This window comes from Homo sapiens, chromosome 2 (assembly GCF_000001405.40).
Source record: "Homo sapiens chromosome 2, GRCh38.p14 Primary Assembly".
Lineage (NCBI taxonomy): Eukaryota > Metazoa > Chordata > Mammalia > Primates > Hominidae > Homo > Homo sapiens.
The window spans coordinates 200,435,394-200,460,868 of NC_000002.12; the positions used below are offsets into that span (position 1 = coordinate 200,435,394).

The 25,475-nt window shown below is 40.2% G+C and overlaps 1 protein-coding gene and 1 long non-coding RNA gene across 18 annotated transcripts in view; one reads left to right on the forward strand and one right to left on the reverse strand.

The window, feature by feature from the left end:
* The window catches only part of SPATS2L (spermatogenesis associated serine rich 2 like), a 176,386-nt gene that overhangs the window by 129,515 nt on the left and 21,396 nt on the right, over positions 1-25,475 (forward strand). For 10 of the 15 annotated variants that reach the window (NM_015535.3, NM_001282735.1, NM_001282743.1 and 7 more), the window contains 3 exons: positions 3,729-3,935; positions 5,256-5,391; positions 24,376-24,434. In NM_015535.3, coding sequence (NP_056350.2) covers positions 3,729-3,935; positions 5,256-5,391; positions 24,376-24,434 — 402 coding nt within the window. The remainder of the gene's footprint in view (positions 1-3,728; positions 3,936-5,255; positions 5,392-24,375; positions 24,435-25,475) is intronic. The other 5 variants (XM_024452788.2, NM_001100424.1, XM_005246459.2 and 2 more) reach the window with 1 other exon arrangement.
* The window catches only part of LOC101927741 (uncharacterized), an 81,319-nt gene that overhangs the window by 38,739 nt on the left and 17,105 nt on the right, over positions 1-25,475 (reverse strand). For 2 of the 3 annotated variants that reach the window (XR_007088047.1, XR_001739165.3), the window contains exon 3: positions 13,983-14,075. The exons of the other annotated variant lie outside the window; for it this stretch is intronic. This is a non-coding gene — a long non-coding RNA (uncharacterized LOC101927741). The remainder of the gene's footprint in view (positions 1-13,982; positions 14,076-25,475) is intronic. 3 annotated transcript variants of the gene reach the window in all.

Here is a 25,475-nt window from a genome sequence, read left to right on the forward strand (position 1 = left end):
AATCTAGGCAGATGGTGTGTTTCCAGAGATAACTTTTCTTTCCAAGATACGGCTACTGTGGAATCTAATATTTGATGAATATTAGATAAAGACACAGCCAGAGACTCATATCAAACGAGGCTCCCTACAACTGGAAGGGCCGTAGGCATGCATAGCACTGAAGTAACACTGATTCATTCATTCAGTATTTATTATGTATCTACGAGATACCAAGCACATACAGTAATGATGAACAAGACATACATCACCCTGTCACCACTTTTCTCATGTAGAAATTGCAGAGGATATTTTAAGGCTTCACTAAAACAAATACCCTTTTCTAGAATATAAATTAGTAGTGATTACACACTGAAGATCAAAACTCTCACACTCCTTGTGTATCCTATTAGTGTTATCCAACAGAAATTTAACACATAGTATGTATATAATTTTATATTTTCTGGTAGCCACATTTAAAAAGTGTAAACAGGTGAATTAAATTGGGTAATATATTTTATTTAACTTAATGTATCAAAAATATCATTTCAACATGTAGTCAATCTTTTTTAAATTATTAAAGTAATATTTTAAATTTTTTATTTTGTACTAAACCTTCACATTTCAGCATATACATTACACTTATAGCACATCTCAATTTGGACAAGCCACATTTCCAGTGTTCAACAGCCACATGTGGCCAGTGGCTACCTTACTGGACACTGGAGGCTTATGTGTGAATCAGCCCCCATTGAGCTACAACCTGTTGAAGTTTACAAGTGGACTCCCGATAAATGGAGAGCTGATGGTATTTCTGGACTATAATGTTAGAGGAAAGTCACTGGATACAGTGACTTTCTGTTATAGCTCTATAACGCTCCACCAGTTTTCATCTGCAAGAGTCCCAGAGTTTTACTATATTTGAAGACAGATCTATACTAAAGTAACACTGATACATTCATTATTTATTATGTATCTGCAAGATATCAAACACATGCAGTAATGATGAACAAGACATACATGCATGTCAGACATACATGCATATATGCAAATATGTACAAGTGGTCTTGAAGATTTTAATGTTCAGTGATTTCACTAGTAATGAGACAGCTTTTGAGGACCTAAAAAAAATCTCTACTCACATTTCTCAATTGATATCTGATGGGGAATGTTGAAACGAACCAGTAGACCATATATCAGTTCTCTGATACACAAATAAAATGTTTTCAGCTCTAGGTTAATGAGCCTATGCTCATTTGCATGCTTGGCTTCCATTTAAAATTCTTTTGCATTTCATTACAATAATTTTTTCCCTCTGCTCTAAGGTCATTGTTTCCATTAAGTTATAGTATAAATCCCCTTATTTTCAAGAATATGATCTCTTTACGACACTATACACGAAGATCTGTGTTTTAAATTTGATATGGTTTGAATGTTTGTCCCCTCCAGATCTCATGTTGAAATGTGATTCCCAATGTCAAAGGTAAGGCCCAGTGGGAGGTGATTGGATCATGGGGGCAGATCCCTCATGAATGGTTTAACACCATCCCCTTGGTGATAAGCGAGTTCTTGCTCAGTTACTTCATGTGAGATCTGCTTGTTTAAAAGTATGTGGCACCTCTCCCCTCACTCTCTTGCTCCCATTCTCACCATGTGGTATGCTGGCTCCCAGTCATCTTCTGCCATGATTGTAAGCTTCCTGAGGCCCTCACCAGAAGCTGAGCAGATGTTGGCATCATGCTTCTTGTACAGCGTACAGAACCATGAACCAAATAAACTTCTTTTCTTTAAAAATTACCCAGGCTCAAGTATTCCCTTACAGCAATGCAAAAACAGCCTAACCCAGAATTCTCAATTTATAGTATCTCATCCAGACTGCCTCTCAACTGGAATTTAGAGAGGTAGTGACTTGGAACCAGTTTGGACGTGTCATTGTTTTAACACAAATGTTTATAGACTCAACATAAAATTAGTTTTTTAATCTTTTACAGTAGGGTTTCTCTGGGTGGCTGGTACCACCCATCTCCACTCCAACAGAATCACCTGGGGAGGAGAAGCCTGGGCCCACAGCTGAACTGGAATCTCTAGAAATGGTGTTCGGGAAGTTGCATGTGTAATAAGTACCAAGGGAAACTCATTTCACACTGAAGTTTGACAGCCAGTGCCTTATAGTGAAGTTCTACCTTAATATCACTAAGGATAAAATTGCATACTACCATTTGAATCTGTTTTATTACTGGAGGAAATGCTGTTTTCAGTACTTATGTACTTTGTTTACTACCTTTGCTGAACATTTTGTGTACTGTGAGTAAATTTTTAAGGGTATTCATTCAGCTCATAGAAAGTATGTTGTGCTTTCTTGATATGTAAGTTATGAATGATGGATTCAACTGAAGTCTAATTATATTGATCATGAATGGACTAATGTCTAAAATCAAATTGACTAGGACCTAGATCATATTCCTTTGTATTTTTTCAAGTGTAGTCTCTGACTGTGTCAGGTAAGATATTCATTGTTTTTTATTTTTTTCTATGAAATTGTTTCAAATGTACTTTAATTAGATCATAATTCTACAGAAAGCCATCGAGCCAGACACAAGTACTAGGGCTTCAAAACAGAATTGAACTCAGTGTTTGCCCTTGGGAAGATTGCAGCCTCTGCAAGGCAGGGGTGAGGGGCAGATATGGAAGCCTTGTGTTAAAATATAAAACCGTGGTACCATGGTTTTAAGTAAAGCAAGGTACCATGGGAGTAGAGAGAAGCAGGGCAAGGGTGACTATCTGAAAAGGCTGGGTTTTACAAAGATGACTGTGTTCTGTTTGAGTGCAAGCCAGTCAGCCAGACAAGTGAAGACATTCCCACAAGGTCACCCAGGACATAAGGAATACCAGAACTTGGTTCTCCTAGATCAAAACTGCACTCATCAAGCTTTCTACAAGAACCTGGCCTTCAAGAGCACACTGGCTTCCCTTTTCTCACACCCAAAACTTTCTCTGGTAGTAAGATGTTAAGAGTGATACATTTCCGTTTCAGGCCACTAACATGCTATTTAATTCATTCCAGCAATAACTAAATGGGAACCTACCTTTAAAAGATGCCAAAAGCAACATCCTGCTAATTGATTGCCACATCTATTAAATCTCCAGAGAGAATCTGACTCCCTAGATTTTAAATATAGTTGAGATATTATGATGATGTTTTCTGATTTAAGCCCTCCATAAATTAGATGCAATGATTATAGTATCTGTTGTCACTTCATTTTTGCTCTATCTCCAGTCACGCTTCTGCCTTCATTAATTCGGAATGAAATATCACAAGACATTAATGTAGCACTTGGAGATAGGAGGGCTACATTTTTATAGCCTCAATATGAAATTGTACTTAAAAGACTCATAAGCCTTTACTGGAATAGCAGGGGGGAAAAGGCACTGCTCATCTTCTATAAGCCTCTTAATAACCTTCCTGGATAGTTATGGATGAGGAAACTAGGGCTCAGAGATGCCCAGGGTCACTCTGCAAGTAATTACCAGAGCCAAAACATGCCCAGGTCTTTCTACTCAAAATACAAGGCTCTTCTAGTACACCCTCTAATCTTCTGGGGATTCTTTTAAAACAGTTTCTTGACTGTTTGCAATGAAAGGCATTATTGCCAATATGTAAACAAAAACAAAAATCTTGGCATCCTCCATCACTTTATCGTCAGTGTTTTTAGTTTATCACTTCACAGTCATTATTTGGTGTTTTCTTACAGAAGGCAACAGACTACTGCAACAGAAACTATCCTTAGATGGGAACCCCAAACCTATACATGGAACAACAGAGAGGTCAGATGGCCTACAGTGGTCAGCTGAGCAGCCTTGTAACCCAAGCAAGCCTAAGGCAAAAACATCTCCTGTTAAGTCCAATACCCCTGCAGCTCATCTTGAAATAAAGCCAGATGAGTTGGCAAAGAAAAGAGGTAAAGTGATTTCTTTTGCACAAATGATTCAACATATTTTGCACATACAGAAAAGTGCCAGAGTGACAGAACTTTCCAAAAGATGCTGCTTAGTGAAGAGAGATGCACATGAAATTGCATTTTTTTTTCTGTGACCCACATAGATGGAAAGGCAGAGGTGATTCCTCCCATGTAATCAAAGGTCTTGAATATTTAAATAGAATTACATCTCCTTTCTCTGCCCCTCTGAGACCATTCTTGTTGTAGGCATGGATAAACTTACACCACAAGTACCTTCTATCCTAATATCTTATAAAGCAAGTGCTCATTCAGGAGCTCTTTTAAAAATGTAACTGCTAAAAGGGACTCATGTTTCCCTGATACACAATTGCTTGACTTGCATTGAACAAAGATGAGTCTGGAGGCTGGTATATGTTCTTCAGATATGGTCTTCCCAATGTAAATTCAGTTCTGTGTTAGAATTTACACACAATGTAACATTGAAAGAGGGTTTTATATTTGACACGCTGGATTTTTATGATTTTTCTGAGCTTGGATATACTTGATACGTAACTGGTATTAAAAATGAAAATCACTTCCTTTCTGATTCCCAGAAGATTAAATACTATTCTTTTCATTCAGCCTCAGTTGTATCTGATTTCCTTGGCTTTGGTTTGATCTACTTTCTCATTTTTCTTGAGGGGGATTTCTTTCTTCTACCAAACATGGCCTGATTGTGATAAGTACAATCTGCCTGTTTGTGATGTACTATCTGTAGACCCTGGTGACAGTTGCAGGAAATCAGGCGAGATGGGCACCCATAGAGCTGCTTTCAATGCTGCTGCTCTAATTACAGGCCTGGCTTCGGATGATGGGGCCAGTGCCAGCGTACCTGGCATTGATGCCCCATCCTCTCTCTATCTCATTTGTACCTCTCCCAGTCTCTGTGTCATTTTCCTCTTCCAAAAGCCCTGCTGGCTTTTAACCACGCAAAGTGGTGTTTATAGAGAGAGCCAGCAGCACAAATGGTCTTTAGACGTATCAGATTCTAAGGCACTGCAGTTTGTGATAGAATATAATGATGACAGCCTCCTTCCAAAGAGTGCAGGAGACAAGCGTACCCCAGATGGCCCAGTCAGAGACCCCACTGGTGAAATCATAACAGCCTCAGGTGCCACACAAGCCACCCACACTGGGTTACAAACATTCTCCTGATGGAACTTTTACTAGACAAAAGATGAGTCCCTTTTTCTGGTGGGCTAATTGCTTTGTTTTGTTGTTTAGCTTACAAACAAAGGATTAAATGCTCAAGTTAATAATATTTTTTGACATCAATTTTAGGCCCAAATATTGAGAAATCAGTGAAGGATTTGCAACGCTGCACCGTTTCTCTAACTAGATATCGCGTCATGATTAAGGAAGAAGTGGATAGTTCCGTGAAGAAGATCAAAGCTGCCTTTGCTGAATTACACAACTGGTGAGTGATTCAACGTAGGAACCATAAATTTGTGATGCTTGAGCTGTTCCAACAGGTAAAAGTATCAGATGGAAAACGTTGTTTATTTAATACATAAACATCACAGAATAACTCTCCAGCAAATTTTGTTAAGCCCTGCAGGCAGTAGCATGTATCTTGGGAATAAAAAAGAAGATAAAGTATTTGAATAAAAAGAAACCTGATAGACATAATTCACTGGAGTTTGAAGTTGGCCCAAAACTATGAATGATGTAAAACAAAACCTCAACAAAGAATAAAACCTCAAAAAATAGTATTTTTGACAAATCCCTGGAAGGCTAATATCATGAATACTACTAGGAAAACAAAATATTTTCCAGCACTATAATTATAAAATAAGAAGAATTCCCTTAACGAAATTCAGAAACATCTCACATAAGCTTAGCAACAGAGTCCCATTCTTGGGTATCTTTAAGACTAGAATTTAAACATGGTGCATCAATATGGTTTTGGTCCTGCCTTGCCCTTCCCTGCTACTGATTTTGATGGAAAATGTTTGAACCCTGTATATTTGCTCATGTCTACAATTGAAATGATATATCTGTTAATAAAGGTTTAGTTATTAACAGTAGAAAAATGTTCTCAGCGTATCAGTTAGGTCTCTTTCAGTTTGGAGTGGCAGAAATCAAGTCACAGAAGTTAAAGACAAAAGAGAATTTATTGGCTGATATACATGAAAATTACAGAAGTTTCCTTCAGACAAATTTGACTGTAAATCCTCATTATGTTATCAGGACTCAGTCTGTCTCACCCTCTCTCCTTCCTCTCTCCTGGTGTCTCCCACAGTCTCCTAGCTCTGTCCATTCTTGGCTTTTTTCTTAGGCACCATCTCTCTTTGTGGTAGCAAAGATGACCCCCTCACAGCTGCCAGATTACATAATCCTTAGCCCTCTGATGATCTGAGAGAGGGCTTCATCTGAAATAGCAAAAGTCCAAAGGCTGGCACATATCCACCATGCCCAAGCTCATTAACATATTCTCTATATCTCATTGGCCTCCCGTGATTCTAGAATTTGATCACTTCTTCTGCATGCTTTTCCTATTCCAGGTCCTTGCTTTGACATTGATGTGCTTTTTAGCAGAAACTGTGTGTAAAACTAAGAATTAAGCTTAACACTAATCTAAAATGCATGAATTTTAAACCATCTGCTATGTATCATATAAGATCCTAAGGGTGCAGAAGACACTAGGAACTTAAAAGAAAACTTTCTCCTTCAGTTATCATTCAGCCTCTCAGAGGCCCTCTGAGGGGAGGATTCATCTACCTCCCCCCAACCCCAGTCATGGCATCTGGATGTCAACGAAAGTCTTCTCTGTTTGATCATATTATAACCTAACCAATTGTTGAAAGCAACTCCAAGAATATGTTTGAGTACCTAGAGAAATTAAAGATGCTATACAAATGAAAATTGTTATTACTATTATTTTATAGTTTTATAACTTTCCAATCTGTCTTTAGGTAAGTTACCTTAACACTTAGAAGTACACCCAGCTTCCAGGGCTGTTCTCTAGAGCCAGGGTCTGCAGACTTTATGGGGCCAACTAGTAACTATCCTAAGCATTATGGCCTTAAGGTCTCTATGCAGCTACCCAGCTCTGCTGTTGCTGCTCAAAGGCAGCCCTAGATAATCAAAAAGGCTGTGGGCCAGATTTGGCTCATGAGGGTCATTGTTTGTCAACCCCTGTCTAGAGGCATTAGTTAGCTGTTCAGAGAAGACCACTCTGTCTTACTCTTTAGTGTGGCCTTTTAGAATAAACTCTTCCTCTGAGCCCTCTGTGTGATACCTTCCATCTGAGTGACTCATATACTAATTGACAAAGTGTAGCAATGCCCTCAAATTACCTCTCTCTTCTCCAGCTGCTCTGAGTACTTCTTATTTTATTTTATTTCTTAGTAAAATGAACATCACATGGGTCATGAGACATCTTGAGATTTATAACAGATTCTGTGAGAGTTTTACTCCTCAAGAGCTGAAAGCGTGGGGCCAGGAAAGTCAACACCCAAGGAAATAGTATATTTTTTCTCTGCTTGTAATTCATGTTGTGTTTTAAACTGATGGAAAGAATCACTTCTGAATGAGCGCTGCCAAGTAGTACTGCTGTTTAAAAGCCACCTACTTAACAAAATGGCACTTTTTCTGCAAACCAAAGAAGACATTTAGATCAACCATTTTGGTATGCCATTGCTATAAAATGAGTAAACAGCACCACTTATTTTCTGATCTAATCCTTAATAAAAGTGATCCCACAATAATTGCATAAATGTTAACTTAAAAATAAAACCAAAGTGCTCTTTAAAATCAACTATGCATGCCTGCCAAACAGAAAAACCTTGCCTCTGTTCCAAATGAGCTTGCAGCCCAGCAAACATGGTGACATACTTGAATAAAGCCTCCCTCTTGTTTTCTAAGAGGAAGAAAATGAATTTTAGGGATTATGGTGCTCTTGAAATATCAGGTCACAAAATTGAAGATGGCAGCTTGGAAATTTTTGTTAATGAAATTTTCCTATTGATGGTGAAATCCTGCATTCTAAGCATTAGAGAAAACTTTGAGTGAACTATAGGTGTGTTAGAATGTACTCATTTTAATGCAGTTGTAGCCTCAGGATTACATCATGAGGCATATCTAGATTTGGAGGACATGGGATAAGTCCTGTGGAGATTTCCAGAAAGAATGCCAGTTCTGAGAGAGATGTCACCGCATGTGGTGCACAAGCGACATAGATGTATACCTTCCGTTTCCAGTTCCTCTTCTCCTCTCCTTGCTTTGGGCCACCCAGTTATCCTAACCACAAAGTACTCAACAAGCATTTCGTGTAGTTGAGAACTAGAAACTCAGGTCAGAAATTCTAAATATTCACTTTGCTACCAAAAAGTGCCAGCATAAGGACCTGAGTCCTGCTTGACTAAACTCCCTGAAAAGTACTGCTGGAATTCACGAGAATGATGATTTTGAGAGGCTGGGAGCAAGCTGTTGTTTGCATATCCTCAATACCAAGCAAGCACACATCAAGGTAAAATGAACGAAATGATCTCTCTTCCAACCGGGCTGTGAAGAATACTTTGTTCAGTACAGTTATTGAAGAAAACCACTAAGTAGCTAAAATGTAAAATCAAAGTTGGCATTTAAGCAGGATACAGTTACGTAGGCTGCATGACCATAACAGAGCATTCTCATTTTCCCAGAAAGAATTAGGGATTTGCGAGGGGAATAAAGATGATACAATGCTCTCACAATGCATCTTAACAGAAAATAAATTTTGCGACATGAGCATCTGTGTGAAAAGTCACATCAGGAACTAACATGAAACAGCTGGTTTCTTTTCTGTATGATTGGCCTCCTACCACAACTGGAAAATATTCATCCTTTGGAATCATAGCTGCCAGATTTAATTGCTTTATATGCAGACTAGTCTAGCTTCTCATCACAAATCTGTGTCTGTGTGTCCAAGTTGATTGTGAAGACTTAAAATGAGCAATAAAACATTAAATTCAAAAAAACATTGAGGAAGGAGAATAATACTTGATAGTTCCGCCATATGCTGGGGGGAAAAGTATTCCAAAATAGAGCTGTAAAAATTCTGTTAGGTGCTATTGTCAATTTAACATCTAATTAAAAGCACCCTAAGAAAATGGAAGACGGTAATGAGCCAATGGGGTAGCGTGTGTGCTGGGCATGGGGAGGCATAAAGAGGCTCTAGAGAATGGGGGCTGGAGGGAGCAGTCCTTTTAGGCAGCTTTGTTTTCCAAGAGGAAAGGGAAATCTGTGAAAGCATGTATTCTGTACCAGTGGGCCAGAAATGTTCCTATACTTTGTGTTTCTTTTTTCCCGAAGCAATGCCAAGTCTGGCCCAAGCAGAATTTGAAAGTAGGTCAGGAGTCTCAGCTCCCCGCACCCTGAGCCCTGGCCCACTTCCCCTTCCTCTGCCAATTTTCCTGCGTCTTAGAGTTTCCTCCTTCCCAACAGACAGGGTGAACCTCCTGCTGCCCCATACAGGCTAGGGCTCCTCACCTCAATCAAGATAGGTGTTTATAGTGGTGTCTCCATATCCCTTTTCTCTTTTTTTTTAACTATGGAAACTCAGTTATCTTATGTAACTTACTAAACTCATCCCTATGATAACCATGTATCCTCCCTCTCAAAGTGACATATTTGCATACTAACAAATGCTCTGTTGAGACTCTCTCCCCCAGCCAAAAGACTACTCTAAAAGTGAGAATGTGGCAGGGCAAGGTGGAACACACCTGTAATCCTAGCACTTTGGGAGGCTGAGGCAGGAGTTTGAAACCAATCTGGGCAACACAGCGAGACCTTGTCTCTACAAAAAGAAAAAAAAAATCAGCTAGGTGTGATGGTTCGTCTGTAGTTCCAGCTACTCGGGAGGCTGAGAGTGGGGAGGATCACTGGAGTCTAGGAAGTCGAGGCTGTGGTGAGCCGAGGTCGTGCCACTGCACTCCAGCTTGGGCAGCAGAGTGAGACCCTGCCTCAAAAAATAATTAATAATAAAATAAAAGTGGGACTTTTAGGCAGAAGAAAAAGCTATTTTGAAATAAGTTTTATCTTTCTCATCCCTCAAATCCTTCTCATCTGCTACTGAAGCCCTGTTGATAGCCAAGGAAAATCACACACAGATTATCAATGTGGTCAACAGGTGGCCCCACATACAAACCAGATGTCACCATTGACACTTTAAATATTGTGCACTTTTCCTAGGATGTGATCTTGAGGTCTCCCATATGGGAAGTTGCCAGTGGCACTGCTGAGCATCAGAACCACGTATATGTAACTGTATGTCCCATATTCCCAGTTTGCTCTCCTTGGATATCCAGATAATTTTAAATTGTTGAAACATATATCCTTGAAGCCCCTTTAGTTTGAGTCCAAGTAAGACCATCACTTTTGCAGATTTTTCAGAGCTGATTCTTGCCATGTTGATTGGTTTTTTTTTTCCCTACCCATATTCTCCAAATTTTAGCTGCTTTCGTGTGATTCCTGGCTTTCCAAACAATGATAAACCCTGGCTTTTCTGTGTGTCCTTTGGGTTTTTTATGTGTTCTCTTTGTGAACAACTTCACATTAAAAGATGATGCCTATATATTAATATCTACTTCTTTCCATACCAAAGTATATGTGTGTACACTATAAATAAAAACTCTTAGAGCTTTATAGTCCTCCCTTGCCTAAGTGCCGCCCCCAGAGATACTGATTGTACCACGCTTTTAAAAACAACAGGCCAGGCACAGTGGCTCACGCCTGTAATCCCAACACCTTGGAAGGCCGAGGCAGGAGGATTGCTTGAGCCCAGGAGTTCGAGACCAGCCTAGACAACATGGAGAGACCCCATCTCTACAATTTTTTGATTAGCTGGGCATAGTGGTGTGTGCCTGTGGTCCCAGCCACTCAGGAGGCTGAGGTGGGAGGATCGCTTAAGCCCAGGAATTCAAGACTGCTGTGAGCCATGTTCGTGTCACTGCACTCCAGCCTAGGTGACAGAGTGAGACCCTGTCTCAATAAGAACCAAAAACAGATAATTCTCTTGACATCTGTGGTTGAAAACTGCTGGTTGAGAGTCTTGCAAAGGGAGTGATATGTCTAGGGCCACAGCAGTGGTTCTCAATGGGACAATTTTGCCCCCAGGAGACCATTGATTTGGAAATATTTTTGGTTGTCACAGCCACAGGGAGAGAGTGCCGCTGGCATCCGTTAGGTAGAGGCTAGGGATGCTGCTAACCGTCTCTCCCACCTCTCCTGTAAGAATGAATTACCTGGCCCAAAATGTCTGTAGTGCTGGGAAAGCCTGGGTGAGAGGAAAATGAGAGAAGAGTGCCTCATTTGTCCTGCCACCTCGGTTCTGCTGGAGCACCTTGAGGGAAGGATGGAGACTCTTCCCTTTGAAACATCCCTGATCATCTTGCCCCCAGTTGCCCTCCTAAGCCACCACTGGAGATATGAAAGAGGGACTTTCCAATCACATACCCAAAGAAACACTATATTTGTCTTCTCATTTCATAACAGTGCAGCAGGAAATATTTTTTCCATAGTGCCTGAAACGTAAACCCTCTCACTACACATTTTAAAGGTCAAATTACATTTTTGTCTCATTGAGATCAGAAAAACAATTATACTGAAGTGTAGAAAATTGAAGGCTTTGCTTTATCGTCTGTTTTTCATCATAGAATTCTACTCAGTCCTTAGAAGAAAATGGAAAAATTAAGAACCAAAGGTTGTAGCTAATGATAGGCAGTCACTTTCATTAGCCATTCTGTTTCTACCTGAGTCTTTTTCTCATTTTGCAATAAAACCAAATATCACAGTGGGGACCAGGATTAGGATGAAGATCTGAGACATGTAAAGATAAATACAGTAAGGACTTGTTCCATTAAATGTCTGCTTGGGGGTTATTCTTTTTCTTTGACTTCAGCCAGGGAGCAATATTACTTGGTGTTTCTGGCATATCTGGCATATATCCAACTACTCTGATGCCAGTGACATACCCAGGTATGCCAGCCATTATGCTCTTTAAGCCAAATGAACAGAAGGTCTTTTACATATCTTACGGTGCCGTAGTGGTTGAACAAATACTTATTGGCCATTTTATTACTCTGTCTTAATTAGGAGATCACTGGAATTGTGGCATTATATATACTTTAACAGGTAAGCATAGGAAAAATACATATTAGGCGAAACAGGTCCTAGAATCAGATCTGTGTCACAGAATAGATGCTGTGACAACAAGCAAATTTGGGTTTTGAGTTCAGTCACATGGAAGATGTTGATATAAACATGAGGAATGAGTCAAGATTCCATTGTTAAAGCAACGTGGCTGAAATTTGATAGTAAACACTCCTAGTGTACACTGAGAGTATCTGGGGTAGTATAGTGTAGTTGTACAGTAATAAGATGATGCTTTTCTCTGTGCCATTCAACAAGGCATGTTTATAATAGGATTACCAGTAGGAAAGTTGCCTTTAGGAGCCTTTTCAGCCACTTAGCATTGTTATATAATAATTTTTAAAAGCTTTCAATTCCCTGTTTAATTATCAGGAATGTGTTAAACAATTACTAAATTTTGTTAATTCCTTAGATTAAACAAGTAGTGAAGACAAAAATCAAGAGTTTGGCCAGCTGGAGCAACACAGGGAGACCTCATCTCTACAAAAAATTTTAAAATTAGCCAGATGTGGTGGTACAGTCCTTTAGTCCCAGCTACTCAGGAGGCTGAGGTGGGAGGATCATTTGAGCCCCCAGGTTGAGGCTGTGAGATAAGCCGTGATCATGCCATTATACTCCAGGCTGGGCAACAGAGAAAGACCCTGTCTCAAAAACAAACAAACGGGTGGGCACAGTGGCCCACACCTGTAATCCCAGCACTTTGGGAGGCTGAGGTGGGTAGATCACTTGAGGTCAGGAGTTAGAGACCAGCCTGGCCAACATGGCTAAACCCTGTCTCTACTAAAAATACAAAAATAAGCCCGGTGTGGTGGTGCATGCCTGCAATCCCAGCTACTCAGGAAGCTGAGGCAGGAGAATCACTTGAACCTGGGAGGCAGAGGTGGCAGTGAGCTGAGATCACACCACCGCACTCCAGCCTGGGTGACAGAACAAGACACTGTCTAAACAACAAAAACAAAACAACAACAACAACAACAAAATCATAAGAGTTCAGTGTGTTTTTGGTTTTGTTTTTAATAAAATCAAGTGTTTGAATTGTGTTTTTTAATGTTTTGTTTTAAAAGACATTTAATAAAAGGGCTCTATCTCTTTCTGCTCTGGAAATGAATACAATCCTTGCAATGATCAAAATCTATACAAACCAGACTTTCTGACTAATCCCTTTCCTTCTCATCAAGTAGTTTTTCTAAGTGTTCACCTGCTTGTGACTTGGACAAAGCACCATAGAAAGAGAATTAAACTTTTTTCTCCCCACCCCCAACATTCAATATTATGCCAGAAGTTAAAGAAACAGAGAGTATGGGGATGAACATTTACTTGCAAGGGACACCAAGAGACAATAATGGAAGAGGCTAATAAATACATTTATGCCTCAAGAGAGCCATATGTATGGTTTCCATTGCTGTCTAGCTGACAAATTGCCCAAAATGACTCCTTTTCCTCACTCTGCACCAGTCCAATAAACCGAAATAAGCTCCGGGATCTATTCTGAAATTGTGAAAAGGGCAAATACACATATAACATGGAGAAACTCAAGGTTCCCATAACTTTGTGACTAAGGCAAGTCCCTGTAGTGCAGTATATTTCAAATCTTGCCTCATTTGTGAATATGTGTCTTTCTAAATAGGTGTAGCTCACTCTTTGGAGGTGAAAGCTTCTCTTTTCCTATTTTCTTTCTTCCCTGAGGTTTTCCTCTGCAATAGATGTTTCCCCAGGGCCTTTGCAAGGACTGAATGAATCAGTTGACATGAAGGAAGAGCAGGTTGATAAATACAAAAAGTACTGAACTGGCCTTTTCAGTTTAGGTATAGTCCCCAGGAAACCAGCATAAATAGCACCTCTTATTAATAGCCTTCCTGAGCTACACGTGTGGATTACCTCCATACGTTATGTCAGTCACACACTTGGCACTGGCAGTCAGCTCCGCTGGCACTGCAGCCTTCTTTGCAGAATAAAGGCCCACAATAAGAGCTGGAAGACAAGAAATTGGTTCTAATTTCAGCCTGAAATCGGAAAAGATTTCTGAATCTTCTCAGCAGATGAAAGCTTACCAATCAACCAGCCCGGGAATGTACTTCTGAAAAGGAATTGTTTTCATCATAAAATAGAAAAATAAAGAGGAAATAAGCAAATTGTTCTATCTACACATTCCCATAGGATACTAGAGTATGGTCTTTTAAAAAATATATATGCAATATAGTCTATTTTCACTAGAAAAAAGAAGATGAATTTGTTCTTATATCTTAGTATAAATATAAAATACATTATAATACTAAAAAGTGAGTCCTAAATTACAATTTCAGAATGCATCTTGGAGCTTATTTCTGTTTTTTTGGACTGGTACAGTGAGACTAAGGAGTTATTTTGGGCAGTTTGTCAGCTAAGTCAGCAACAAATCATATAGAAAGGCTGTACGTGAAGCCAATAAAATAGAACTCCTTATATGTATACTACATGCTGCTTCTAGTGACTCTAAACTCTTGATTCTTACCAGGCCATATTCTAATGAAAGACGCATTTTCCAAGGTTTATTAACCACTTAATTAGGAGGCACGGGATGTGGAGTTAGATAGATTAAGGTTTAAATCTCATCTCTACATATTCTAGCTCTGAACCTGGTTGAGTTTTTTAACTCCTTCTCAGCTACAAAGCAGGAATACTGTTATCACTTTCTAGGGGTTTTGTGAAAATTCATATATAAGTAATGTATCTGTCACATCATTCTAGAAAATCACTAGCCTGGCCCATAAGAGATGTTCAGTTAAGGTTGATTCTCTTCCAGAGTAGCATTTGGGAAATTTCTTTTCCTCTACACCAAGACACTGGCAATAAGTTATCCCTTCCAACTTTCTGTTTATTTAGCATGCAGTGGAGTCCAGCTATGGGATAGGAATGGTTCATCACCACTTCTACTTTTTATTACTTGATGAAGAGAGAAGTAAGGCAAAGGGACACCCACTTCTGAATGTCACAGTTGCCACCAAAACAGCTCCCCTTCCCCTTTCTTGTCTTGCCATGCCTTCGCTACCTCTCTCTTCCCCTTTCTTCATTCATCCACTTAATAGATAGATGAATGTGTGTCAAGCCACTACTTTTCAAACATTTGAGTGCACGAGGAGCATCAGGGCCCCATTTCCAGATATTCTGATTCTGTGGATGTTAGGTGGCACCCAAGAATCTTCCACTCAGTGAGTCTAGTGAGTACAAATGTAGGTGGTCTGCAGACCACACTTGAAGGAGCACTTCTAGAAAGACTGAGGGATAAAGACAGTCTTCCTCCTAAAAAAGCCCATGCACTAGTGGCTGCAGATGTAAACAAGCTGGAATGGAGCTGGGGGGAGGAAAAATCAACTCTACCTGGCTCATTAGGAAAGGTTCCATTGCAGAGGTGACCTTTGAGCAGGATCTTGAAGGAAGACTAGAAATTTGCCAGATGGAGAAGGAAGAAAGAAGATTCCATGCAGAAGAAGCAACACAAAGAACCAGAGGCAAGAAAGAACATATGTGCTCAGGGAGAAGTACCCTTCTTCCATCAATAATGATGGGCACGGTGGCTCACACCTGTTATTCCAGCACTTTGGGAGGCCAAGGTAGGAGGATTGCTTGAGGCCAGGAGTTCAAGACCAACCTGGACAACATGGAAAAACCCTGTCTCTACCAAAAAAATATAAAAATTAGCTGGGTATGGTGGTGTAGATCTCCAGTCCCAGCTACTCTGGAGGCTGAGGTGGAAGGATCGCCTGAGCCCAGGAGGCGGAGTTTGCAGGGAGCCAACATCACACCCACACCGCTGCACCCCAACCTGGGCAACAGAGCCAGACCCTGTCTCAAAAAGAAAGTTAATATAACTAATGATGATGGTCTCACTCCATCAATAAATGAATTTTAAGCACATCCCTCTCAAATCAGAAAGTTCATTTATAAATTATACATGTGTACTACTGTTAATCTGTATACTAAAGATGAGGAAAGCCTACTTAGAATAACAAGTGAGTACATAAAATTTAATATTGTATTCCTGCTCCATTTTGGAAGCCTGGACTAGGGTACGGCCTTACCATGGGCAATAACAACACCTGTGATTGTGGGGAAGAGCCTTCTAGGCCAAAAACAAGAAGAGCCCCTCCCCTCCCCTTTTCACATGAGAGCCTGCCTGGAGGCCAGGAGCAGAGGAGGCTAGGCCTGGCTGCCTTGGGTTGAATGTGGGCCAGCATTTCTGGCACTTCTTGTACTATATCAGTTTCTTCCAGTTTCTGTTCCTGTTATTTATGTTCAGCAACCATGATGGCATCTACATAAATGCCCTTCCCCTTGCCCCCACCGTTTTCTTTTTTCTTTTCTTTTTTTGGAAGGAAATACAACAGTGATCAGAGTGATTGGCTCTATTTTGTGCTTGAGACAAAGGGGCATTTTGCTTTATTTTGTTTTATTTTGAAATTTGTTTCATTTTATCCTGCTTTCTAATATTTTCCAGTTTTTTAGTAGAGATGGGGTTTCACCATGTTGGCCAGGCTGGTCTTGAACTCCTGACCTGAGGTGATCTGCCTGCCTCGCCCTCCCAAAGTGCTGGGATTATAGGCATGAGCCACCACGCCCGGCAGATGTAACTTTAAAAGGGGAAGCGGGGGAGTCAGCATTTTTATAGTCAAAGACACTGAAATACAGTCAAGTTACTTTCCCTGAATAGTGACCTCCATGAAAAGAAACTGAACTAATAAGTAATTAGCAAAGATAAAAATTTCTATTGTTCATCAAAGTCATATGTACAATTTCTAAACAGAGGAATATAGATTTTTCAGTTGAACATTTAATGTTGTGGGATTTCCATACTATGGGATTATGCTATTCTGTCATTTAAAAAATTCCAATAAGAAAAAGAAATCCCTGTATATTTTTTAATTAATTATGTCCTTTTTGAAGAACTCCAAAATATTACTAATGTTGAGAGTTAGTCCTTATACTAAATCTGTGTGTCTCATCCCAGAAATGCACCTCAGACAGTATGATGAACAATTTATTAACCATGATTTCAAATCATTGTATGATTCCAACATAAAATATGCAGACTAAACAATATTAACACATTGTATTGCCTCTCATAAAAGTAGTAGAAATAAAATGTCAGCCTGATTGGCAATTGAGTGTAGTCATTGATGTTCATTGACAGTCAGATGGATTTTGACTTTGCTTTGTATGTTGAGTGTGGTTCATGCTTGAGGCACCCCCACTCTATTTCCCGGATGAGCGTGATTAGTAGGCAGCCTTTCAAAGGGTTATGTGCTAACCCCAGTCTACATGCTGTGGACATGTATGCAGGGTTTTATATGTTTACCAAATAACACTGTTAAACCCAATAAATCTTTAGAAGGACCAATTTGTCACCAGTGCTGCATTTAAAAAAAAAAAAATCTATTATTATTTTTCAGTTTTGAAAAGAATTCAGGTTGTTATAAAACCTAAATGCAAATATATACAGAGTGGAAGGTGACAGACCCGGGAATTCCAGCAGTGTAACAATAAACAACAACAAATAGCCAAGGACTGGGTAATGTGCTCAGGGTTAAATAAGAGTCAGTGGAAGTGGAGAGGTGCATGGGACAGACAGACATTTCTGGGGTAGACTTCCAAGGATGTAACCATGTGGGAAGTGAAGGAAGAGGAGCCATGGACACTGGGTGAGAGATGACACCAGTAACCAGCATAGAGGGTGCAGGAGAGAGGACAGGATGGGGAGCAGAACAGCAAGGAAGAGCCGGGAATTGGCAGTGTGCAAGAACGTGAGTGCCCTTTACAGTTAGGGCTGCCAGGCCTCCTGACCCTGGGAATAAAGAACCGTACGGTCTTTCTGCATTTGTGGCTGTCAAGCCAGGGAAGCATCTTTGTTGACAGCTGCAACAAAGAAATTGAGAAATTGCAATTGAGAAATTGGTGAGCTGAAACCCCTGACTAGCTTTGCCCTGGGCCCAATAATTGCTGGTAATACTTGGGGAGTTGGACCAGAAATGGTACTCATGGGAACAGTACATTAGGCCTTAAATGTATAAAGGAAGTTTTCCTGCCTTGCAACTAGTGGGCAAAATTTAAGGGAAGGGACACAGATGCTCAGTGCTAGCTAGTACGGGGCAACTGTAGCTTGCCAGCTCAAGGCCCACGTGGTGGTCAGTGGGCACTACTAGGCTATCAGCCCAGCTGACATCCCTCTCAGGGGATGTTAGAACCGTTGGTCACAGTTCTTATTCCTTTGCATTAAGAAGCGGCAGAGCCCACAGTGGAGGGAGATGTTTTTATACCACTCTTTTCTTTTTAGTGAAAGAAATGGAAATTCTTTATGCAGGGAAGCCTGGCTGTAGGGCTTATCAGTCTTTGGCATGCTTTATGCTATTTGGTAGAGGCCAGGAAGGCTGAAATATTCATTAGCATTCATAGCATCCTTTCTCTCCAGCAGTTCCCACCTTCTCTTTCTACTGCATGCGCCTCCTGCTGGGCCTGCCTCCCTCCCCATGCTCCCATTCTGCAATTGTTGGCTTGGCGAATGATGAGTTAAGCTCCAGCTGAAGTACTTTCCCCACAAGAAGGTTCTGCAGCAAAATTGTCTGGGATCAGATGGTCCCCGGCAATTCCTCTCACTCTAGTCTCCCTGAGGCAAATGCATGGAAGATGGAATGTGGCCTGGTTTTAAATCTTTAACATCTAACTCTGGCTGTTGTTACAGATTGAGTTCTTCACCTCCCCTTTGAAATTCTGCTTTCATTCCTCGGTATCTACCAGCAGGTTCTGCTCTCCAGCTTATCAACTACATTGATGGTCCTGTGGCTGCCTCTCTATGGTGGCATCTTTGTATTTGAAGAACACTAGGCCTGACATGACTCACCCAAGCTTCCAAATGAATCAATTTTGTCACTCAATGCCTCCATCTCCAAATTTAAAGAGCCTTTCACAGGGGAGAAAATGATAAATCTATTACTACTAACGAGGCTTTCTGATTCTTTTCATTATTGTTATTATCAGTGCTCTATAGAAAGGAATCAAGACAGTGGAAACATTTTTATAAAATGACACTTTATCTCTGTGATTAACTATATAATAAACTGTAAAGTCTTTGCCATGGTAATCTCCTCCTTACACCTTATTGCTTTGATAATAAAAGCTTTTTTATGGCAACAAAATAAAATTTTACTATCCAGGCAGTTTGGCTAAAATGAGAAGATGTGTTTTTAGAAGGAGAAAGGGCACATCTGAAACATGTGAGGTCCGCGTGGATTTTACGGGAACTCTGTTTATGTAGAACACGTTTGACGTGCCTGGTGCCCTCCAGAGGGCTTTACCCAACCATTTAGAAAACTTTTAGTGGCCAGTGGAAAGCCAATTAAAGAGTTATGTATTTCTGTCAAGTACTCAGGATCACTGTTGAAAAGCAAAAACATTCAGAACTTAGCATTTCAGATGATCAGTGGTGGGAGAACAAATTTCAGTAATTAAACCACCATAGTTTGCAAACTGCCTGTTTTGACTCAGCCAAACCTTGTGTGTTTGGTGAGTATCATGACACCTTTACTCATAAGCTTATGTCTCCAATGATTAAATTCTGTCAGTGACCAAAAGTTTTGCATAAATGTGATGTATATGCAAGCACCACAATGTACTAGTAAGTTTCATTATTGTTATGCCACAGAAAAATGAATATGTTGTCTTCCCTTATATTCATCACTATCAAGAAATTTTTATTGAGCAACCCATAATAAGTCTAAGATCATGAAATTGAACAGAAGTTTTTAAAAACTTAGTCAGAGCTCTCTAAGGAAGTGACGATTAAGCAAAGACCTGAAGGAGGACTCAGAGCTGATTAGATGAAGAGAAGCAAGGTTAAGCAGAAGAGTTGTCTTCAAGGTAGAGGGAAGGGCTTGTTTCAAGCCCCTGTGGCAAGGAGAAAGCCAGGCTTGCTCCTCCTGGGATGTCAGGAAGCTTAGATGAGATCATTCCAGGAAGGCACTGGCACTCTACCTAATGTGCCTGGCCCACCATCTGCACTCAGAAAGTGATCAGCTCACATTTCGAGGCAACTGAGGGCTGATATGTGTCTGCAGAGGTGTACCTCGAAAGCAAGTGTGTGACCTTGCAGCTTCCACAGTAGGAATGTGGTTGATGATACTGTCTCTGATTCTTCTGTGACTCATCAACTCCCTAATGTCATTCCTCTCCAAGGGACTCGCTCCTCCCTCCATATCTGGTAACTCCATACCAGGGCTTTGCCAAGTGCCCTCTGTCCTATCCAGCCTGCAGAGTTGTCAAGCCACACTTGACCACCCATACGTGTCTGTCTCTGTCCTGGTACCTCTAAGAAGATTCCACAGAACATGGAAATGGCACCGATGAAATTACTCCCAAAACTGGATGTGACACACCCAGACACCCCAGGCTTTGTGGGCATTTAGAAGGATTTAGGCATGGTCTTTCCTCTCTGACCTTCTTTTAGTCTGGCACTCGCTTGATGTAAGGCTGGCTCCTCACTGTCTGACAGCCTGCCAAAGGACAGGCTGGCTTTACTACTTCCTCCACATCCACTTCCCACCATTATTCTTCCCTTGACAAGCCTACTGCCTGGAAAGCAAAACTCAAGGAACTCTCAGGTCTACACATTGAGATTCTCAAGGGCAGGCCGGGTTTATCTGCCCTGGGCTGGCCCCTGATCTTGGTTTGCATCAGTTCATCAGCTCCAAGCTGGGTCCTGAGTCAGCAGAGATCACTGACTTGCCTTTGTGCACATGAGTTTTGAAAGCAGCCACCCATAGATAGCAGAGCTTGAATTACTACGATGCTTGCAGACAATCTTCTATGGAAATACCCAGAGAAACGGAAGCCTGGTTTGATGCCAACTTCACAGGCTCTTTCACATCCTCAAGGGTGTGCATTAAGCAGATTAACAATTTATTGTGTAAACCCTCTTCCCTCCTGTTGCTAGCCCAGAAGGTCTGAACTAACCATTGTATATAAATGCCCAGCTTTGTTTAATATGTGTTAGACCCGGGGACAAGTATTGTACCCCAAATGTCCATCTTGTAAATTCTCTGGGCACAAAATTATGTTAACAAATTTGATCAACAAAAGTGTTACGATGGTCTTGTAGCTGATAAAGAAATTAGCAAAGGCCCTTGCACACACCACCATTCCACCAACCCCACACACAAGTGGGAGGATTCCCAAGCCTCCAGGACCTCTGCTTTGCCTGCAGTCTGCTCCTCTCCCCTCCACTGGGCATCTGAGGACATGCCAGTCTTGTGTCACATGCAGCAGTATTTCCCTTAGTGTGTGCTGGGCATGCTCTCTAAACCCAGGGACTCTATTTATAAAGCCTTCTAGTTGATTCAGGGAAGGGAATCCTAATTGCTTCTTCTTGCCATCGTCATTTTCTTTCCTCTCTATCTGCTTTTCACTATTTCCCCAATGAGTCCTGGCAGGTCCTCTCACATCCTTCTCAGCTCTCCCACAAAGAATGTCGTCGTGCTGAGTTTTCTGTCTTCTCTCTTCCCTTTCTGTAAGGGATAAAAATTCAAAACATGTCCTCAAGCAGAGTAGCTTAACCATATATTTGTAGTTTGGGCTTCTGGCTCCACATCTGTAGATTCTCCCCATATCTCCCCAACAGCTTGTCTCGAACAGTCTTTGTTTCCCTAAAGTAAGGTAGCAGTGCCCCTCTCTAAGAAGGTTGTAAATAATGAAAACATACATACACACACACACACACACACACACACACACACACACAGATGCCTCTGTCATGGCTATGTTTGTGAACTTGGCAGAGAAGCTCATAATCACAGGAGCACAAAGCCTATTGACTCAACCCGGCATTTCATACAATTACTGAATATATGCTGGTTGATTACATAGACAGTCTCTGGAAATGCAAGAACTTGTCACATTGGAGACCTCCAAGGAGGGGAACTGAGTAAGTTGGGGCAGAGATGGGATAAAGAGTTCCTTCTCACTGTACACCTTTCTGTATCATGCATTTCCTATATTTAAAACACACTGACATACCTATGTAATGTCAATAGGTAAGGGACAGGCGTCCTGATATGTTGGTTACACCAAAGTGATCATATCCAGTGACCGTAAGCCATGTGTGTCATGGGGCTGGCTGATGTTGTCTGCAGTTGAGGGACTAGGCTTAGAGCCCAGTTCTGGAGAACATGCCATGCACTGTGCAATTAGTCCTTTCCACTAGGATTTCCTGGTTGGGAAGAGCTGAGTTCCTCAGCACACAGTCCTTTACTCTTCAAGTATTTAGGTTGCACAGTCTACTTGAGGAGCCCCTAAACTGCTATGGATATATTCCAGAAGTCACTTCTTACTTTGACAAATACTGCAAAATTTTTCAGAGGAAGTAAATTTTCAACACACTTTAAATTGCAAAAGTACATCTGATGGAGAAGAAAAAGTCCATGTGATGGAACAATCTGAGAGTAATAAAGATGATAACAGTGTTTTGAAGCACATTAAATATGAGTTTATAATTAATGTGTATAATTAAAATATACAAACAAGCAAAAAAATCTTCTTGATTACCTTTGAAGGATGCTAAGGAACCAACTATCATTTTGAAAACAAAAGGGGAGAATCAAGCATTCATCCTACCTTACCTATGCAAACTATACTTCATGATAACCAAATCATTGATAAAGTTTCTCTTTATGGAAGAATTCCAGGAAATAAGAAAGAGTTATAGAATGTGAATATCTCAATTTTGCAAACCCTATAAAATCTAGGCAATGATCATCAATGGCTGCTAAGATCATAAAAAAGAGAGATGTCTTTTGTATTTCCTATAAATTTGCCATTTTAGATGTAGAAATTTGATTAAATTCAGTCTCATTTTTTTTCAGGTGGAGTAGTTCATATCGTATACTTCCATCAGCACACACATAATGACACAATACACTTATCAAGTGTTCCTCCTAAGAAAATAAAACCTGAATCTAATCAGATTTCTACATCTAATAACAAATTTATAGGAAATACAAAAGAACAGGCTAAATAACACCATGGAGATGTAATCAGCAAAATTCAGGCTTTGCACAACTCTTCAGGACAAACAACCTAATTTCTTCAACAAATAAATTGCAAAGGGGATGAGAAAACAGATGAGAGGGAACCTCTGGATTAAAACAGATTTAAGAGTCAATCAACCAATTGGAATGAACAGGGCTTGTTTAGATCCTGGTTTTAACACACTGTTAAAAAAAAAAAAGATTTATGGGACAGTTGGGGAAATTTGAATACTAAGTAGATATCTGATACCATTAAATTATTGTGAATGTTTTATAGATGCTATAGTAAATTATTGTGGTCCCCAGAAGTCCTTATGTTTTAAAGATATATATTTAAATATTATGACTAAACTAAAAATATAAAGATAATCTGACATCTGTGCTCACCCACCCTGGGGATTTTCCCCAGGCTCTTCACCCTGCACAGCTCCCTGCCTTTTTGCTGAAACCTCTCTTCACTCCTTCCTACATAAAAATCTGTAAAAGGACATATAAGGAATTTGTCATGATGCATTACTTCTGGGAGGGGAACTAGAGAACTGGGGGTTGGGATGGGATAGGAGAGAAGCAAACTTTGGGACAGATCATTGTTAGCTTTATGCAGGTAATACCTTTTCGAAGGACTAACCAAAAAATAAATGAAATACGAGAAAAAGTTCATTAGAACCTTGAAATGCTTACTCGGGAGAATGAAAAAGGCAGAGACTTATGTTGTTGAGCATGTGGATGGATTGGCCCAGACCATATTTCTCAAAGTATGGTCCCAGGACCATCTGCAGCAGAATTGGGCCCATCTCCTTCCTTCCCAGCCAGAATCTCTCAGGGTAGAGCACAGAGACACTGGGAACTACAGTCCTTAAGGACCTAAGTGCCAGCTTTTCAAATACTTATTATATTGTTTTGGAACTTTGGAATGTATAGGACAAAAATATTCCCAAATTTAAATTCAAAGCAGCACAATTCTGAAAGTCTAAAAGACTTTTTTTTAGGTTTGTTGACAATGATTTAATCAGCAGATGTCACTATGTAATCCTTGGGAACATCCCTTCGATGTTGCCTCATTTTTTGGAGAGGCAGAGTGTACTGCTGGCATTGTAGCATAGAAATATTTATGGTAATTTTGTATTTTGTTTAATGAAAATAATTTTACTTTCAGTGCTTATTAAAAGTTTATCTTTGATTAAGCATTCTTTGCTTTTGTTTTTGTTTTTGTTTTTCCCCAGCATCATTGACAAAGAAGTTTCATTAATGGCAGAAATGGATAAAGTTAAAGAAGAAGCCAGTAAGTAGACAACACATGGTTATTTGATTAGGAGCTTCCCAATCAGAAGCAATCCATAGGTCAGACTGACAATGATACCGGCTTCTGAACAGGGTCCTAAAATTTATATTGAAATTTTGGCTCATGAACTCTGTAACCTTAGTCATGTCACTTAGCCCCTGGAAGCCTCATTTACATCATCTGGCAAAAAGATACAGTTGTAACACTCACCTCGTACAGGTGAGTACATGGCAGGATGGACACTCAGTACATAATAGGTGTCAGTTGAGTTTTCTAAAGTCCAAAGGGATGTTTGTGCACATAAAGAACTTATAGTTAATTGGATTTAAAATGACACTGAATTTAGTATTAGATTTTAAGACAATTTTAACTCTTTAAAACTTACAAATCTCATCATCATTTTTACTAGTTCTTTTTTAGGTTCAATTAAGTTTATCATATTAAATTTTCCTAGAAAAGTAGTCCCATTTGAAACTTAATTACTTAAATTCCCCTCAACATTTTTAATTACATATATAAATTTAATATATCTGATTTGTCTTAAGCACTTCAGATGTCAGACAAGGCAAACTCACAAACCTAACAAGCAAAGTGTTCCTAAGCTTTTAAGCAACTCTTATAAAATTAATAATTCAAGGCTGGGCGCGGTGGCTTACGCCTGTAATCCCAGCACTTTAGGAGGCCGAGGCAGGCAGATCACAAGGTCAGGAGATCGAGACCATCCTGGCTAACACGGTGAAACCCCATCTCTACTAAAGATACAAAAATAAAAAATTAGCCGGGCGTAGTGGTGGGCACCTGTAGTCCCAGCTACTCAGGAGGCTGAGGCAGGAGAATGGTGTGAACCCGGGAGGCAGAGCTTGCAGTGAGCCAAGATTGCACCACTGCACTCCAGCCTAGGCGACAGAGCAAGACTCCATCTCAAAAAAAATAATAATAATAAGATTAATAATTCAAAATTAAAGATACACTAAACAGTTTTTTTTTGTTTTTGTTTTTGTTTTTTACAGAGTCTCACCCTGTCACCCAGGCTGGAGTGCA